Genomic DNA, 18,958 nt, shown 5'->3' on the forward strand with positions numbered 1-18,958 from the left:
AGAAAGAACTGAAACATATTCCTCTAGCCTCTGGGGTACTGGATAATTATGTCATATTCATAAAATGTAATAAAAAATATTAAAATAAATACAATTACTAAAAAGAGTGAAGTTTTAAAAATGAAGTGATATATATGGATTGTGGATTAAGTGCATAAAAACAAGATGCTGTAAACTTTATAGATTTTTGTTTTCATTTGTATTATACACACATACACACAACACATATACATACATACACACAGAATCTCTGAAAGACCCTATCAGAGACTTGGGCTTTGTGACAGTGACAGTTGCACTGTAAAGGCAAAGTAGCCAAGAGGAATACTACATGGGCTTTTCACTGCATTTTTCTTGTACTGAATTTTTAGTTTACATATTTTATTTTCAATTATTATTCAGAAAGAAAAAAAAGTCTCTAGGTAGTAAGTGGTTGGTTTAGATTTAGTTCTGTCTCCAGGCCTCCTCCTTGGAAGTTGCCACCTCCTCCATGGTGGGTGTTTGGAAAGATGGTTCTGAGAAGTAGAAAAAAAGGGAGAGAGAAATCGACTGAAATCTTTTATAGAGGGTTCGGTTTTAAGTAGAGGCAGTTGAAGTGGATGACCTTTTCTACACCATAAAAATACATATTGTGATAGTACATACAATTCCTTATCAAAATCCAGGTTATTTTCTGCTTCAGCCTGTAAACAAAGAAACTAAGACATGAAGAGTTTTTTGTTTTGCTTTTAATAGGTGACTGCAATTAGGAATGTAATGGCAAAGGAGGGAAAGAAAAGGAGATGAATGACTGGAATGTGAACATAAAAAATGACACAGTGCCTCGATTCTTTTTTTTTTTTTTTTTTTTTGAGACGGAGCCTTGCTCTTGTCGCCAGTGCCTCGATTTTTGCATTTAAAATGAGGCGAAAGAACAAATGGAATAATTATAGAAAATTTTAGCCTCTAGCAAAACACTGTGAAGCAGCTCCAGCCTGTGGTGGAAGATGTGCGAAAGGGATGGGGGAACGCTGTGGACCGGTGTGGAGTCTAGGACGACAGGTGGTGGGCTCTGTCCCCACGCGCCTCGCGGCCAGCAGAGGCCCCCTCACTGCGGCCGCCGGGCGGGACTGGCGCGGGCGGCGCTGGGCTGGGCCCGGGAGGCTGGCATCCCTGGGTGCTCCGGTGCGGTACTAGGGGGCGACGGCTGAGCCGTGGGTGGAGCCGCTGGGTCAGTCTCGGATAGAAATAAACTGGGAAACTGCTGTGGTCTCTGTTGCTTGCGTGCTCGGTTTTCGTGCTTATCACGCTGATGATGAGGAAGGTGGTTTTGGTTACGGAGTGAGCAGGTGAACGCCTCCCCGTGGACCCCACCGGACTGGGTGGGGAACTCACAACTCTGACGCCCCGTGACTGCATCCCCTAGCTGGGCAGAGACGCATTTGGCTCGCCACCAGCCACCTCCCAACAGCGCCCAGCTCGGGGAGCTCAGGGAATTTGCAGTTGAATCAGGCGTGGCTCCAGGGACCTGAGCTCTGCCTTCAGATGGATCCTAGTAATCCTCCAGGTGCGGCGGGAGAGAGCAGCCGACCATCCCCAACTCGGCTCAGAGCCTGGGGTCCTAACTCACGTGGTCATGTATCGGTTTCCAGTTGTTTCATGATGTAGAGCTTCTCTCAATTAGGTTTAATTAACAAGTAGAACAAGGACTGGCAGAGCTTCATTGGATGTTGCACCCCTTACAGCTTCCCTCCAATGACTAAGCATTGGAGGGAAGAATCATTTACCTGTTGAATATGGAAAGAACATACAGACCCTTCAGTGGCTCATCTTGTAGGCCCTTTCTGCTTCTGGCTGTTTTACTTATTTGCATTGCCAGTGCAGGGCATAAAAAAAAAGTGGCTATAGACATTAACCAATCCATTTTGCTGCTTTTGAAATCTGAATTTATGGTAGATGCTAGTACTAGATTAAAAGTTTCAATTAAAATGACTCAGTGTTTAGCATATTTACTTACATTTCCTGTTAATCAAAATTGATGTTTAGGTGCTTGAGGACACCTCTGCCACATCCAGTGAATCACCACTTCCCTTCTCATGCTCCTAAACAACCCCCAGACTGTCTTCCACCCACCAGTGCCGAAACAGTGCACACGATCAAGATAGATTCTTGTTATAAAATTATATTAAACAACTAAATAGTACTAACCAATTTCCAGGCACCGTTCTAAGTGCATTATATATTTTTTTCATGTAATTTTCATGCTGTAGGCTAGGCACCATTATTATCCTCATTTTACAGATAAGATAAAGGGATTAGTTATCTTGCCCAAGGTACAGAGCTAGTGAGCGATAGAGTCAGGATTCAAATGTACCCAGTCTAGCTCTAGCTTCTGTACTCATAACTACCAAATTGTACAGTTCACAACATGGGCATTCTCTCTCTCTCTCTCTCTCTCTCTGAATGTACATAAAAATAAGGTAAGGCTTATTTTTTCTCAGTGAAGGAAGATACACAGTGAAGGTGTTTGGCTCTGTGCTTACAGGCACAGCTGCTTAAGGACATGTTTCAGAGTGAGCTTTAGAGCATTCTTGAGCCATTTGTCACCTTGTGACAATTACAGGGAGACAGAGAGGATATATTCAGTGGCAGGTCATGGTTATCATCTTTTTAATACACAGTCCTGTTTGCTTCCTTTGAAGGCTTTCTTCTGAAGACCTGTCTTCCTTTGACCTCCTGTATCCTCAGGTATCCTACTTTTCCTACTTTCTCCTTCCTGGCCTCTATTTGTATGTCCTCCATTCTTCTTTCTAAAGTCCTAATTTGTTCAAGGAAAAAAAAATCGCAAAGCCAAATAAACACTTAATTACACTGAATGCTCCTTTTTACATTAGTTATGTTCTCAGACTGACTGGCTAATGAACAATGAATTCATTCATTTATTCATGCAGAAAACGTTTGCTGTTTGCCCCTAGCTGTGATGATTAAACTTACTCATGGCATTGTATATGCCCATGAGGAACTTGCAAACTGCTTGAGAAAATAAAAATTGTATTAAAATGGTTGATAAAGATGCTGTCTTTAACACTTGCTATGGATGGTTTGTAATCACCCTTAGATATCAGTTGCATAGTAAATTCAGGATGATAACGTGCCTCAGAATAATCTCAATAGAGCAATGAGCAATGGAAAAGTACAGCTCTCATTGTTGACAGTACACTAAGTAAGCGGCTATTAGAGTGTGAGTTCCCTCTTTCCTTTACCTTTTTTTTAAAAAAAAAAAAGATTTTTAAGGCTTTAAAAAATCTTTCCTTGGGCTCCTGCTTGGAACCAAAGCAGTCAAAATCAGTTTTCTGAACCAGAGAGAAATGCCTCTACCTGATGCCATCCAGATAATGCACATTCTGTGTCTGAACTGCCCTCCCGGTGGCATTGACCTATCCTTCTGCAGCAGCTGCTGGTGGAAGATGATGAGCTTCACCTGTGTTTGCCATGCAGGAACATGAGCAATACAGAAGCTGTCCATGCAACTCTGCTGGCCTCTCACCATACGGTCAAGGTCACCACGATGCAGGTGGATGGCAACCTGCAGTCAGTGCTCCAGGCCTCTAAGGAACTCAAGCAAAAGTATGCCTGGACAGTCCTCATGAAATGGTATCTCTGATTTCTATTTCAAGATGGCAGACTGAGCACTCGGTAACTGCCTTTTCCTTCCACATCGAATCTGGAATACACATATGTGAGTGCAATTACAGAAGTTTGGAGTGGCATCAGGGGATCCGCTGTGGAGGTAGAAGATTCTAGGAACTAGAAGAGAACAAAGGAAATAAAAAATGGTGATTGGTTGGGATACAATGGAAATAGCAGGCAGGTATGTAGGCCCCTGTAAACATCCCCTTGTCCTTTCTTAGAGCAGATTTCAAGTTCTTGATCCTTTAATCTTCTGGCTGTATATGCTCCTTATTTTTCCTGTGATTCAGAGATACTTTTCTCTCTCTCCAATCCAAACTCTCATATTTACTGCTCCTTTCTGACATACAACTGAACCTTGAGGATGTTACGTTGAGTGAAATAGACCAGCCACAAAAGGACAAATACTGTATGATTCTTCTTATGTGAGGTACCTAAGATAGTCCAATTCATAGACACAGAAAGTAGAAAGGTCGTTGCCAGAGGGTGGAGGGAGAGAGGAATGGGGAGATGATTGTTTAATGGGTGCAGAGTTTCAGTTTTTCATGATGAAATAAATATGTTCTGTGGATGGATGGTGGTGATGGTTGCACAACAGTGCAAATGTACTTAATATCACAGACTATACCCTTAAAATTTTTTTTTTTTTTGAGATGGAGTCTCACTCTTGCCGCCCAGGCTGGAGTGCAATGGTGTGATCTTGGCTCACTGCAACCTCCGTCTCCCGGGTTCAAGCAATTCTCCTGCCTCAGTCGCCTAAGTAGCAGGGATTATAGGTGCCCGCCACCTTGCCTGGCTAATTTTTGTATTTTTAGTAGAGACAGGGTTTCTCCATGTTGGTCAGGCTGGATGATATGTTTTATGTTAGATGTATTTTGCCACAGTTAAAAATATTTCTTCTTAAGGGCTGAATAATATTCTATTATATGTATATAGCATATTTTGTTTATCCAGTCATCTCTCTATAGACACTTGAGTTGCTTCTACCTGTTGGCTATTGTGAATAATGCAGCTATGAGACCGAGTATACAAATATCTCTTTGAATCCTTGCTTTTGCTTCTTTTGGATATGTATCCCGAAGTGGAGTTGCTGGATCTTATAGTAATTCTGTTTAATATATTGAAGAGTTGCCATACAGTTTTCCATAGTGGCTGCACCATTTTACATTCACATCAGCAATGTAAAAGTGTTCCCATTTCTCCACATCCTCATCAATACTTTTTATTTTTTGTTTGTTTGTTTTTTGATAATACCATCTAGTGGGTATGAAGTGGTATCTCATTGTGGTTTTAATTTATATTTCTCTAATGACTAGTGACATTGAGCATCCTTTCCTGTACTGATTGGTCATTTGTATACCTTCTCTGGAGAAATGTCTATTCAAGTCTTTTGCCCATTTTTGGAATGGGTTGCTTGTTTCTTTGTTGTAGAGATGTAGTAGTTCTTTATGTATTCTGGATATTAACCCCTTATCTGGTAAGTGATTTGCAAAAATTTTTACCAGTTGGTGGGTTGCCTTTTCACTGTATTAATAGTGTCCTTTGATGCACAAAAGTTTTTAATTTTGATAGAGTCCAACTTAACTATTTTTTCTTTTGCTGCCTGTGCTTTTGGTGTCATATCCAAGAAATCATTGCCAAATCCAGCATTTATGTTTAGGTTTTTGACCAATTTCAGTTACTTTTTTGCATATGGGATAAGATAAAGGTCAACTTCTTTCTTTAGCTTGTGGATATCCAGTTTTCTCAACACCATTTGTTGAAAAGACTGTCCTTTCTTCCCACTGAATGGTCTTGGCACCTTTGTCAAATCGTTTGACCAAATGTGCAAGGATTTACTTCTGTGCTGTCTATATTCTATTCTTTTGGTCTATCTGTCTTTATGTAGCACACCACACTGTTTTAATTACAATAGCTTTCTAGTAAATTTTGAAATCAGGGAATGTGAAATGAGATCTCCAACTTTGTTCTTTTTCAAGGTTTCTTTGGCTATTACCAATGGGAGTATTTAGAAACTTGACAAACAGTTTATAAGAGTAATATGGATGTATAAAGATGTGAGACTAGCTAAACAATTTTTTTTTTTAGACAGTCTCACTCTGTCGCCCAGGCTGGAGTGCAGTGGCACTATCTTCTGCCGGGTTCAAATGATCGATTCTCATGCCTTAGCCCCCCTAGTAGCTGGGATCACAGGCGCATGCCACCACACCTGGGTAATTTATGTATTTTTTAATGGAGATGGGGTTTTGCCAGCCAGGTGTGGTGGTTCACACCTGTAATCCCAACATTTTGGGAGGCAGAGGTGGGTGGATCACTTGAAGTCAGGAGTTCAAGACCAGCCTCGGCAACATGGTGAAACCCCATCTCTACTAAAAATACAAAAATTAGCCGGGCATAGTGGCACATGTTTGTAACCCCAGCTACTCGGGATAGTCACCTTTAGAAGGTAAGGTCTAATGAAAGGGATGCAGAGGTAGCAGTGAGCTGAGATCACGCCACTGCACCCCAGCCTGGGTGACAGAGCAAGACTCCATCTCAAAAAAGAAAAAAGAAAATAAATGGGGTTTCACTATGTTGACCAGGCTGGTCTCAAACTCCTGGCCTCAAGTGATCTGCCTGCTTCAGCCTCCCAAAGTGCTAGGATTACAGGTATGAGCCACCACACCTGGCCCCACACAATTTTTAAATAGAAAAATAAGTAGGGAATATATTATATATATATTAAACTATATTATAAAGCTATAGCAGTTACAGTAGTGTGGAACTGATGCAGAAAATAATAAATTGAAGAAAACAAAATCCAGCACTAGTTCTATAAATGGGTGTCATTAAAATTTAGGGACAAGTAGTGGGTGGGACAATTGACTATATCATGTGGAAAGATAAAGTTAGTTATCTTCCTCATCAAAGTCACAAAATTAAATGCTACATCAGTTAAAGGCTAAATGCAAATAAATAGATGAACAAATGAATGAATAAAAATCCATAAACATATTAGAAAACAGAAGAATGTGATCATGAATTTGGAATTAAAACAGGATTTTTAAACAATACCCCCAAATCAAAAACCATGAAAAAAAAATGGGTGAAATTGACTATAAAAAACCAAATTACTGTTTAATAAGAGATACTAGAAATGAAGTTAAAAAACAAGGGTGAAGCTGGAAGAAGAATATTCACAACATATAAAATAAATAAAATATTAAAATCTAGAAAATAAAATTATACTACAAACCATTAAGAAAATGACAACTCTATAGACAAATGGGCATAGTATAAAAATTGGCAATTCTCAGAAGAGGAGACTCAATGGCAATGAAGAAAAATGCTCAACCTCATTAGTTCTCAGACACATGTAAGTTAAAATTATAATGCAAGACATTTCACACCCATCAGATTGGTAATAATAAACAAGCATAAAATTGTGTGGCTAGTGTACATAAATTGTGATAGTCACCTTTGGAATGTAAAGTCTAATGAAACTTTAAGTGTAACTTATGAACAAGCACTGATGATTTTTTGGGTGTCCTTCCTAGAGAAACTTTCCTACTTGTGCACAAGGAGGCAGGTACAATGATTGGAGGCTACCTAATAGTAGCTATTCATCTATTTATCAATAGATGAATAGCCAACCCATTCATGGATGAATAGATTAATGGGCTAATGGATTCATGGGTTATTATGAAAGTAGGAATGGTGCCTTTGTGAGAAGAAGAAAAGAGACCTAAGCTAGCACATTATCATGCTCAGCCCCATCACTGTGTGATGTCCTGCACCACCCGGGACTCTTGAGAGTCTCTACCTGCAAGAATACCCTCACAGATGTGCCCTTGGATGTTGGACTTCTCAGCCTCCATAATCGTAAGAAATACATTTCTTTGTAAATTACCCAGATTCAAGTATTCTACTATAAGCAACAGAAAACAGACAAAGACAGCTATTCTCTCAGAAAGGAACAACTTTTTGATTTTTAACTAAATAGCACATTGAGTAAAATTTCTTTTTCTTTTATTTTCTTCTTTTAAAAAATCGTCTGTTTCAGAAAGGTGATTCATGTATTCTCCATAGCTGAAGAACCGCTGACCCAGAATGGCAAGATTACTGCTGATGGGCTCTAGAAGGTGTTTGAAACCAACGTCTTTGACCACTTTATCCTGGTAAAAGGGCTTTGAGCTTTATAGGCTCATCTACTCAGTGTTACAATTCTAATGGCAGTGCTGTTCTATTAAACTAATAGTTTTTGGCTAATACTCTATCCACAGGCCTATTTCTTCTTCTTCCTTCCTTCCTTCCCTCCTTCCTTCTTTCCTTCCTTCCTTTCTTTCTTCCTTCCTTTCCTTCTTCCTTCCTTCCTTTCCTTCTTCCTTCCTTTCCTTCTTCCTTCCTTCTTTCTTTCTTCCTTCTTCCTTCCTTCTTTCTTCCTTCTTTCTTTCTTCCTTCTTTCTTCCTTCCTTCTTTCCTTCCTTCTTCCTTCTTTCTTACCTCTTTCTTCCCTCTTTCTTCCTTCTTTCTTTCTTCTTCTTCCTTCTCTTCTTCCTTCCTTCTTCTTCTTTTTTTTTTTTGAAAGAGTCTCACTCTCTCACCGAGGCTGGCTGGAGTGCAGTGGCATGATCTCGGCTCACTGCAGCCTCCGCCTCCCGGGTTTCAGCGATTCTCCCACCTCAGCCTCCTGGGTAGCTGGGATTACAGGGGCATGCCACCACGCCTGTCTAATTTTTATATTTTTAGTAGAGATGGGGTTTCACCATATTGGCCAGGCTGGTCTCGAACTCCTGACCTCAGGTGATCTGCCCACCTCGGCCTCCCAAACTGCTAGGATTACAGGTGTGAGCCACCGCGCCTGGCCCCTATTTCTTCTTTTACTTCAAATCTAAAGGGTAAATTTTGAGGGAGAAAGTGCAAACCAAAGAGAATTTGCATATAGAATGATCTGAGACATGTAGACTGGTCCCATAAAGAACGTTGTTTTCTGCTAAGCATATCTCCATTTAGAAGAGGACAGCAGGAAAGTTAAATGGAAGGCACTTTTTCATGCCCATTTGTTAGATGTGTCATGTACTAACAACTGTCTTAGATTAGTTAAATTTGTCCAATGTCAGTGTCAGGTACTGATGAAGAACATTAAGCACAGGTTAGACCAGTGTTCAAAAAAATTAGTTTTATCTCTTTCCAAATGTAGAGATTTTCTGGCTTCAGTGAAATTTTCTTCTGTGCTCTTTCCTGAGTCACATATGTCATACATAGTACTACTTTAATATCTGAATCAAGTAATTCCTGACTCTGGTAGGGGTCAGATGTAATTTGTTGATGTTGGATAAAGTACTTTTGCATCTAGAATTGCATGTCACAGAATTTGCGTCTCATTATACCCAGGGGCAATATTCAAGATAGGCAACAATCAGATGGCATATGGGAGTCAAGTAGTCAGAAGAAATGTAAGCCATAGAACTAGAACAGAGTCTTGGAGCTTCCTAGAGGAAGAGGAAACCAACTCTTTAGTCAATGAGGTTTGGGGCAGGGCAGGGGAAGAGGAGGGGGAAGCGGCACCAGCAGGCTCAGGCTTTGTTATTATATTTACCCACTGGTGTGGAAGTAGTCCAGAACTTAAAAACCAATACAGTTGTACTGGATAAATATTTGAATCATAATTCTATTGCTAAATATTTTATGATTTAGCTCTTTAACTCAGTCTATTTCTTTTCATCCCTCTACAGTATAGAGGTTCCATGTCCAAGTTCCAAAGCCAAACTGTCTGCTTTCACATTTCAGCTCCATCACTTATTAGCTGAAGGACTTTGAACAAGTTACTGATCTTTCTGGATTAAGTTTAAGTTTCCTCATTTGTAAAATAAGAGTTAATAGTCATTACCTCATAGAAGTATTGAATATTAAATGAATGAATATATATATATATACACACATACAATTGCATATGCATATATTAAGTTTCTCATAGAATGCTTTTAATTAAACAATATAAACTTCCTTATTCGGATGAATGGAATAAAAACAGAAGCAGAGTGGGGCTACAAGTTTTTATTTTTGCTCCTACATGGTGTGGATTTTCTTTATGAATAGGTGGATGTATGAATAGAGATTTGGAATCTTACAGCACTTTGGAAACAAATCTTGTTGTAAAGTTAATGTGTATGTTTTTATAAGCTGAGACTTCTTCAGTTTTCTAACATGGCTCTTCCCCAGTTTCTAATATTCAATGTATTATTTAAGGTAAAGCGAATTGATATAACCCCCAAATCTCAATGGATTTAATGCAATACTTGGTTCTTACTTACATAAAGTCTATTTAGTGGTTAGAGGGGTAGTGTTAAAGATATGTGAATGAGAACAACTCCATCTTGAATAGGAACTGGGTAAAATGAGGCTGAGACCTACTGGGCTGCATTCCCAGATGGTTAAGGCATTCTAAGTCACAGGATGAGATAGGAGGATGGCAAAAGATACAGGTCATAAAGTCCTTGCTGTTAAAACAGGATGCAGTAAAGAAGCCAGCTCTAACCCACCAAAACCAAAATGGCCATGAGAATGACCTCTGGTGGTCCTCACTGCTACACTTCCACCAGTGCCATGACAGTTTACAAATGCCATGGCACGACAGAAAGTTACCCTATATGGTATAAAAAGGGGAGGCATGAATAATCCACCCCTTGTTTAACATATCATCAAGAAATAACCATAAAAATGCGCAACCAGTAGCCCTTGTGGCTGCTCTGTCTATGGAGTAGCCATTCTTTTATTCCTGTACTTTCCTAATCAACTTGCTTTCACTTTCCTCTATGGACTCGCCCTGAATTCTTTCTTGTGAGAGAGCCGAGAAGCCTCTCTTGGGGTCTGGATTGGGACCCCTTTCCTGTAACAGTAGGAGTCCTTGCTCTGCTTCATACAGTCACTCAAGGATCCAGACAGATGGAGGCTCTGCCTCTTTTTATCCATGGATTTTGAGATTACTCTGTCAATATCCATTTAGCATTTAGGGAAGAGAGAACATTACATGTGGGAGGTTTATATGAGCCTGATCTCAAAACGTACATAGGATTTCAGTTCACATTCTACCAGCAAAAGTAATTTATATGACATACCTAACTGGAAGGGAAATTGGAGAATAGATTCTAGCTGAGTACACAAGAAGAAACGAACATAGGTTTGGTGAATAGTTAGCTGTTGTTACTACATGTAGAATGAGGCCGATAACACAACCTGGCAGCTTGTTTCTAAGGATCAAAGATAATGCCTTTAAAGTATCCAGCACTGTTCCTGGAACCTAGGAGGTCCTCAGTAAGTTATAATGCCATATGAAGATTATTTTTATTATTATAGCTGAGGAACTGTTTTGGTTGTCTTTATTCTAGTGTTTTTGGGCTTGGTTGCGTTTGCTCATTTATTTATGCAGGCGTCAAATATTTCTGCAAACTCCCACATCACATTTTAAGATGCAGTTTTTTGTTGTTGTTGCTTGACCTCAGCTTCAAGAACTACAACCTCTCCTCTGTCATCTTGATTATCTTGGATACAACCTACAGTGCCTGGAAATCCCACTGTTATTATCAGGCTTGAAAACATCCAGCACAGCAAAGGCCAGGAGCCAGGCAGCTCTCCCAGATCACCACTGCCCTGAGTGTGGCTTTGAACAGAGACTTCAACCAGCAAGTGAGGCCTGTCTCAGTGATATGGAAATAGCAGAGCAGGAGCTTCTTTGTTACTGTTGAATTCCTGATTATAAGGCTGACTAACGAAAGAATTGCCGTCATTTCAGAAAGTTCAGTATAGTCACTTGAGCTGGATTGCTGTGAGGATAAGATAGGACACAAGTGTTGCTAGTTGGTATAAAAGAACATTTTAGAGTAGTGAATATGTGCTTATGGCACTCTACTTATATGTAGCCCATTCTCTTGCATTCTGAAACTCTCTGGGACATCTGATTTATCTAACGAATGATAATAAAGCCATGGCTACCTGCTATGGGACTGTCCTGGGCTCTTTATGTGTATTATAAGCTTGTGAGGTAGCTGTAATATCTCCATCTTCTATCTTCCAGAGGAGAAAACTAAGGTACAGGAAGGACAGTACTCACCTCAGATCACAGGTTGGGATCTGAGGTGTAAATTAATTACAACACTTTCCTTTTCAGCGTATGCACTATTTGAGTAACATATGTGAAAAGAAAGTATCTTGGGACCCCAAAATCACTAAGGAAAACTCAAGGTGGAAACTGATAAGACAAACCTGCCTCCCATTCTATTCAGCATTATCCCCTCTGCTCACTGAGATAGATGCATATCTGATTGTCTCCTTTGGAAAGGCTAACTGAAAACTCAAAGAATGCAACCATTTGTCTCTAACCTACCTGTGACCTGGAAGCTCCCTCCCGCTTTGCTCTGAGTCTTCCTGCCTTTGCTTCAAGTTGTCTCACCTTTCCAGACCCAACCAATGTACTTCTTACATATATTGATTGATGTCTCATGTCTTCCTAAAATGTATAAAACCAAGCAGTGCCCCGACCACATTGGGCGCATGTCATCAGGACTTCCTGAGGCTGTCTCACGTCCTCAACCTTGGCAAAAATAAACTTTCTAAATTAAATAAATAAACTCAGACCTGTCTCAGATTTTCTGGATTCACACATACATATAAGGATTACCAGATTGTTTTGTTTCTGGCAAAGCTGGACCTGATGTTAAAATTGGATTTTTTTTAGTCCGTTTCCTATGAATTAACATTGCTCTTCAGCTACAGGCTAGATGATGACTACCTTCCCACCGGTGGTGGAGCCTACCTCACTGAATGGAGAAGGCAGGGAAGAGAAGAAGAACATGAGCTGCTTGTGGGCAAGCCAGCTCTGGAAGAGCTGAACCACACAGGCTCATCCCCTTTGCTTAATCTCGCCTATAAGATAAATCACTTTCATAGAGAGGGTAAGCAGGAGGTGGCAGGGGGTGTGGGAGCATCTGAGCAGTGTCATGGAGCCACATGTTATGGAGCCTGTGGAGACTTCAGCTATATACATGTGAGACAGAAGAGTGAAAAAGGCAGTACAGTGTAATTATGAAAGTGGTTTTGACCTGATAGGCCCCCTGATCAGTTTAAGGACGGATGTTCTAATACCAACTATTGTTCCTTCATGTTTTCTCTGGGCTCACCGGGTGAACCTTTGCTCCCAGAAAGTTCTGGATTGGGTTAGAACAGCTCATGAATGAAATTAACTCTAAGGTCACATTCTACCCAGAATTCAGTTTTGCTCTCAGTTCTCTCTTCTAATTCTCAGTTGTGTGCTCTGTTGTTCGATATAGCTCTCCAGAGATGAAGCAGTGAGCTTCAAGGACAACAGAAATACCCAGTACCAGTTATTGTGCTAGACCCCTATTGACTCCAGTAGTGGTGGCCACTGTGTCCAGGAGGCCAAAGAAGAGGTCTGGAGCCAGTGAATGAGACATAGTGTTTATTGAGGACTCACATACAGGGAGGTCCAGGAGTGGCAGGCTGGACTAGAAAAATGCTACGGTTCACAAAAAGCACACAGTTATATAGCATTTCCACTTAGCAGCCTCCGCCTAGTAACCTGCATTTAGCCCAAAACAAAGGGCCTCAATCCCCCGTATAGGCTGTGTCCCAAGGGATGGGCCAGGGAATTGGATGTTCTTCATAGATAAAGAGTACATCTCTTGGTTGGTACTTCCAGATTCTTTAACTTGGAACCCTGAACATATATGCTTCTTAGACCCAGGGTATTCTCAGGGTATGCTTGAGTTATTGCTATCAAGTGCATCTGCCATACACCAGCAATGTACAAAATCCCTCAATTTGGACACCATGCGTATGACCTCATTTTAAAATTTTCTGGGAAAAATTAATGTCTGAAGATGAAAATTCCTCTCCCATGTAAGTTAATGTTTCATTATGTCCTCAAATCATCCTTCTTCATTGCTTTGTCCACTATAGCCATCATGCTCAGATGTTTAGGGTGAATAGGGCTGTCTCCAGCATCTGTAACCTGAGTAACCTGAGCTGCCTATTACTGGAATAGCCATTATTCCCTTAGAACTCTGTGACCGGATTAATCAAAGCCCATTCTCTCATCACCCTCTCCTTAAAGAATCTATAGTATGAATAGGACACATAAGATTTTCCTAGCACTAGCCTCACACCCCAGGCTCCTAGAAACTACAAACAAATCTTGAGCCCCTATAGCAGTCATCCTAAGCAAACTTCAGAACCCACATTGCTATTATTTGCCAAAGACCGTAGCAGAGACTTTGTGGTAGAGTGTGAAAAACAAGAGAAAAGAGAACATTGTGTGGTTTTTCAGTTTCACTTGTATGCTTGGCTTCCTGTGCAGCTATCTAGAGTTTAACATATGGAAGAAATCACCCATCATGAGGTTTACTAAGGCACTTTGCCATATTTGCAAGAAAATGCACCTAAGCATATTTTCTGTCAGAGAATAGCATATGAGACATTTCTTCTAGCAAATTTAAAAAGTTTATGTAGTGGCCAGCCACTATGTCTTTGCTTGAAATTCCCCTTTTCCCTTTTATGCCTATTTAAAACCTTTCACTTCTTTTCCCTCTTAAGTCTTATGTCCCCAGAATCTCACTGCTACACTGGACTGTCTAGTGACACGTTTGTGGCTGATGTGCCCCAACGACTCACCTTGTAGCCTCTCCTTCTCCAAGTCCTGATCTCTTACTCTTTCTTTGGATTTCTTCAATCCAACAAAGTTCAAGACATTTTTGAACTTGATGTGGCTGTGGCCTTTGCTATTGTCCCCTTGCTCTGAAATTTCTTTAGGCCTATAAAAACTTGATTTTAGGGACAGTCTCTCCCTTGTCACAGGTTTACTTCAGCTAGAGAATCATCTTCAGCATATACCTGAACTGAAACTGCTGTTAGTAATTCCAGAGTCTGGCTGCAAGGGACCCAGTGAAGGCCAATACTTGTAGTGCTATGTGCTGCCCAAACTTTACCCTTTCTGTATGTTTGCATGTTAGAAGCTTTGAATAATTTGTACTAGTAATGTCAAGTCCTGGACCAGTCTTTTGGCTTCCATGTGTTTTCTTTAGTCTGTTTCACCCTCCTGGTACTTTCCTAAGCATGTTCCTTCAAGGTATGTGCTGCAGTAACTTTCCCACTTCCAGTTACTGTCACCTTAACACTTTCTTATTTAATGCTTTAATTTTTTTTTTTTTTTTTTGAGATGGAGTTTTACTCTTGTTGCCCAGGCTAGAGTGCAGGGGTGCAATCTCGGCTCACTGCAACCTCCGCCTCCTGGGTTCAAGTGATTCTCCTGTCTCAGCCTCCCAAGTAGCTGGGATTACAGGTGTGTGCCACCATGCCTGGCTAATTTTGTATTTTGTATTTTTTAATTTTTTTTTAGCAGAGACAAGTTTTCACCATATTGGTCAGGCTGGTCCTGAATGCCTGACCTCAAGTAATCTACCGCCTCGGCCTCCCAAAGTGCTTGAATTACAGTCATGAGCCACCATGCCTGGCCAATGCTTTAATTTTTATATGCTGAGTTCCTTTCACATCTGGTTCCATCTTATATAATCATCTAGCAGAGCTGTTCTGCAGTCTTTAAGGAATAGTTGTAAATGTGTGTGTAATCTCTCTGTAGCTTGAAGGGTAGGGAGGAGTCATTTCAGTTTGCCTTTCTGCTTCTGTTCAGATTGTTGGAATCTGGTCACTCTTGCTTATCCTATAAACACTGAGCTGGAGCTAGGCAAGGTTGGAGTGTATTACCCATTCTTGAGGGCATCTGGGATTTTACTTAAGCCACAATTGTCATGAGAGGTTTGAGCTCCTTTTCTATAAATGGGGAATAGGGTAATGATAGAATATTTCTTTCTGAAGGCTCTATTGGCTTTCTTGATGAGAAAGGACCTGGGAAAGAACTAAACAGGACTATTCCTTTAGAAAGTTTATGTTATTGGTGGTTGTCCAGTTTCAGAGAAGTAGAATAATAGATTTAAATAGTTCACATACCTCTTGTAGAGAGTTTCAGGATTACCTGCATTTTTCCTTGAATTAAACTCATGGTGTGATTACAATGAAGGGCCCACTGGGCTGTGACTTCCTACCTGGTTAGTTTTTTTGTCTAATATTGATTATATGTGTTGGAGACTCTGAGTTTTAGCTCATAGATTTTCTCAGCTAGAAACTGAGTGGTGCTAAAATAAAAGAGAAATGCAGCTTCTCAGCTTTTCTGAGCACTCCTTGAGATAAGACACATTCCCCTCTTTGAGGAGGGGGGCCTGGATAGATATTTATAAAATGCTTACCACAATATCTGCTATATAGTGGCTATAGCTATATTTGTTTATTAAAATAAAAATAAATAAACAATGAGTTGCCAAGAGCTGTGATATTGAGCCTAAGGCTATTCACCTGACCTTTTCTGGGGATGTTATGAACTTCTTATTTAACCACATAAGTAGCATGAGAGGAGATCTGCTTTAAGGGCCAACAGACTTCCCTACTGCTGCCTGGAGGAAGAAAGCAATAGGCTTCTTTTATTTGGGGCACAGGCAAAACAGGGGCTGTCTCATTTACACTGGTATTTTCTAGTCTTCACTTAAATGAATAAAATGAGGATTAAAATAAAATAAAGATTAAGATTAAAATGAATTGGTATAAAAATACTAATTCATATATAATTAAGTATAATGTATATATGATTATATATGACATATATTTTGATTATGCTTATAATAATTATTATTTAAAATAAACTAAAATTAAGATGACAAATAATAAATGTGTTCTTAGGATAAATTATCAATAATTAAAATAAATAGTTGAAAATTAAGCCATTATAAAATACTAAAGCAATTCTGCTGTGGTTAACAAATCACTAAAGACCAAGCAGTGCTTTTAAATGGAATAAAATAGCTACAAGCCACCAACAGAAGTTTTGTGTAGACTGAGATTTTCATTCTGGCAGAACTTACTAGAGGGATGTGACCCTGGGCTAAACATCTCATTTTGAGCTTTCCAGCTCCAGTCTTTTTCTAATGACTAGAGCATCTACCTCAAGCTAGAGGCAAAGGATATTGTATCTCTGGGACCACTTCTTCTTCCCCAATCAGTTCTTAGGTAAAGGCATGGTATAGCTGTCTAATTTTTTATACTACAAGTTTCTAGGAATAGAGGCTTTCTTTTATGTCCCGGGTTCCTTTTACATGATAGACACATAATAGTTGTTGAACTGAAGAGATCTCCTATTTCAAAGAAAATTGACAGAGTGTGCTTAGGACAATATCTTGCATATGAAGATGACATGGTAATTATCTGATGAATCAAGAACCTCATAGTGCCCCTCTCTGTGTCCCCAGGGCCTGTATTCCAGTGCACAGTTGAAACCACCTTTGCAAAAACTGTGACAGTGAGAGAAATCTAACATAACTAATTCCATCTGACTTGTAATCTCACAAACTATTCTTGCTCATTCCTGGGCGTAGGCTATGGGAGGAATTTAGTTTACAGTTTAACTTTAAAACAAAGTCGTTTCCTGAAACTAACCTCCTCCTTGCTCAGGGACTTAAACTGCCTTTGTAGAACTCCACAAGGTTAGAATTATGGTTCAGGAGTTATGTAGCCAGAGGTAACAAGAATTAACCTCCTCAATTGCTCCTATAGATAGCATCACTATTGTAAAAACTAAAACTGGTGTTTGAGGTGTTTTTCAGACCTTGCATTTTGATGGACCAGGTGGTGCCACCTGGACTGGTAGCCATACCAATAAATTGGCTCAACTGGTCTTGTGACCCCTACCCAAGAACCAACTCAACATGACAAGAGAACTTCAACCGCCTGTAATTTTATCTCTGACCCAACCAGTCAGCATCCCTCATTCCCTAGCCACCTGCCCACCAAACTATCCTTGAAAAACCTTAGCCTCTGAATTCTCAGAGAGGTAGATTTGCGAAACATCTCCCACCCTTCAGCTTGGCTGGCACTGTGATTATTAAACTCTTTCTCTACCGCAACTCCTGCTGTTCTCAGTGTTTGGCGCTTCTGGGCAGCAGGCAAGATGAACCCACTTGGGTGATTACAGGGTGCTCAGGCACAGTGGTGGCCAACCTTACATATGAAATTCTGCCTCCTTTAATCTGGATGCTGCTGGTGCCCATCATATTATTGGTGAGTAAGAAATATGACTTCACTATAAAAATGCATTCACTTTGGGTACATATAAGATTAATTTTAGGTTTGGGGAGCAAAGAAAGCAGATGTTTATGTAAATTACAAGTTTTAGCAGTTTTCAAGTTCATTAATTCTTTATCTTTACTTTATCCTACTGATCCAGAGGGTACAGCATGTGGGAATTTATTTTGCACTCTTGTTTGTACCATACAGTGTTCTCTGAGGCAATATACCTCAGCAGGTGCCACCAGGTGTAATGCAATTATCTTTGCACTTAATGTCTTCCATCAGCTGGACTTGCTTCCCTCATGTTGGCTGCCTGACTTTGAGAAACACAGAAATGTGAGACCTTGGGAACATCAGGAACTGCCTTTCTTTTAGAAATTATTTTCCAACATGGGTTCTTCAGGAAAGTAGTTATTCTGCAAGATGTCAGTAGGTAATAAAAAAAAGCAAGCAAGCAGGGAATAAAGAAAGAAAGAGGAAGGAAGGGGAAGGGAAAGAAAGAGGCATAGTGGAGAAGTAGAAAGGGGAGCAAGGGAAGAAAGAAAAAAAGAGAGAGAGAAACAGAAAGAAAGAGCAACAGAGAAAGAAAGAGAGAAAGAAAAGAAAGAAAGAAGAAAGAAAGAAAAAGAAAGAAAGAAAGAAAGAAGGAAGGAAGGAAGCAAGGAAGGAGGCCGGGCGCAGTGGCTCACGCCTGTAATCCCAGCACTTTGGGAGGCCGAGGCGGGTGGATCACGAGGTCAGGAGATCGAGACCATCCTGGCTAACACGGTGAAACCCTGTCTCTACTGAAAATACAACAAAAATTAGCCGGGCGCGATGGCAGGCACCTGTAGTCCCAGCTACTCGGGAGGCTGAGGCAGGAGAATGGCGTGAACCTGGGAGGCAGAGCTTGCAGTGAGTGGAGATCGCGCTACTGCACTCCAGCCTGGGTGACAGAGCGAGACTCTGTCTCAAAAAAAAAAAAAGGAAGGAAGGAAGGAAAGAAGGAAGGAAGGAAGAAGGAAGGAAGGGGGGAGGGAGGGAAGGAAGGAAGGAAGGAAGGAAGGAAGGAAGGAAGGAAGGAAGGAAGGAAGGAAGGAGGGAAGGCAGGCAGGCAGGCAGGCAGGCAAGCAGGAAAGGAGGAAAA

The 18,958-nt window shown here is 40.5% G+C and overlaps 2 annotated features.

The window, feature by feature from the left end:
- Window positions 1,190-1,795: an enhancer, noted in NCBI's record as "H3K4me1 hESC enhancer chr1:162792375-162792980 (GRCh37/hg19 assembly coordinates)". NCBI's record gives its function as "activates a minimal SCP1, AML or CMV promoter by ChIP-STARR-seq in primed H9 embryonic stem cells {active_cell/tissue: H9 hESC(primed)}" and the evidence as "EXISTENCE:reporter gene assay evidence [ECO:0000049][PMID:30033119]".
- Window positions 14,058-14,167: an enhancer, noted in NCBI's record as "active region_2012". NCBI's record gives its function as "activates an Ori minimal core promoter by ATAC-STARR-seq in GM12878 lymphoblastoid cells {active_cell/tissue: GM12878}" and the evidence as "EXISTENCE:reporter gene assay evidence [ECO:0000049][PMID:35858748]".

This window comes from Homo sapiens, chromosome 1 (assembly GCF_000001405.40).
Source record: "Homo sapiens chromosome 1, GRCh38.p14 Primary Assembly".
In the NCBI taxonomy this organism is placed as follows: domain Eukaryota; kingdom Metazoa; phylum Chordata; class Mammalia; order Primates; family Hominidae; genus Homo; species Homo sapiens.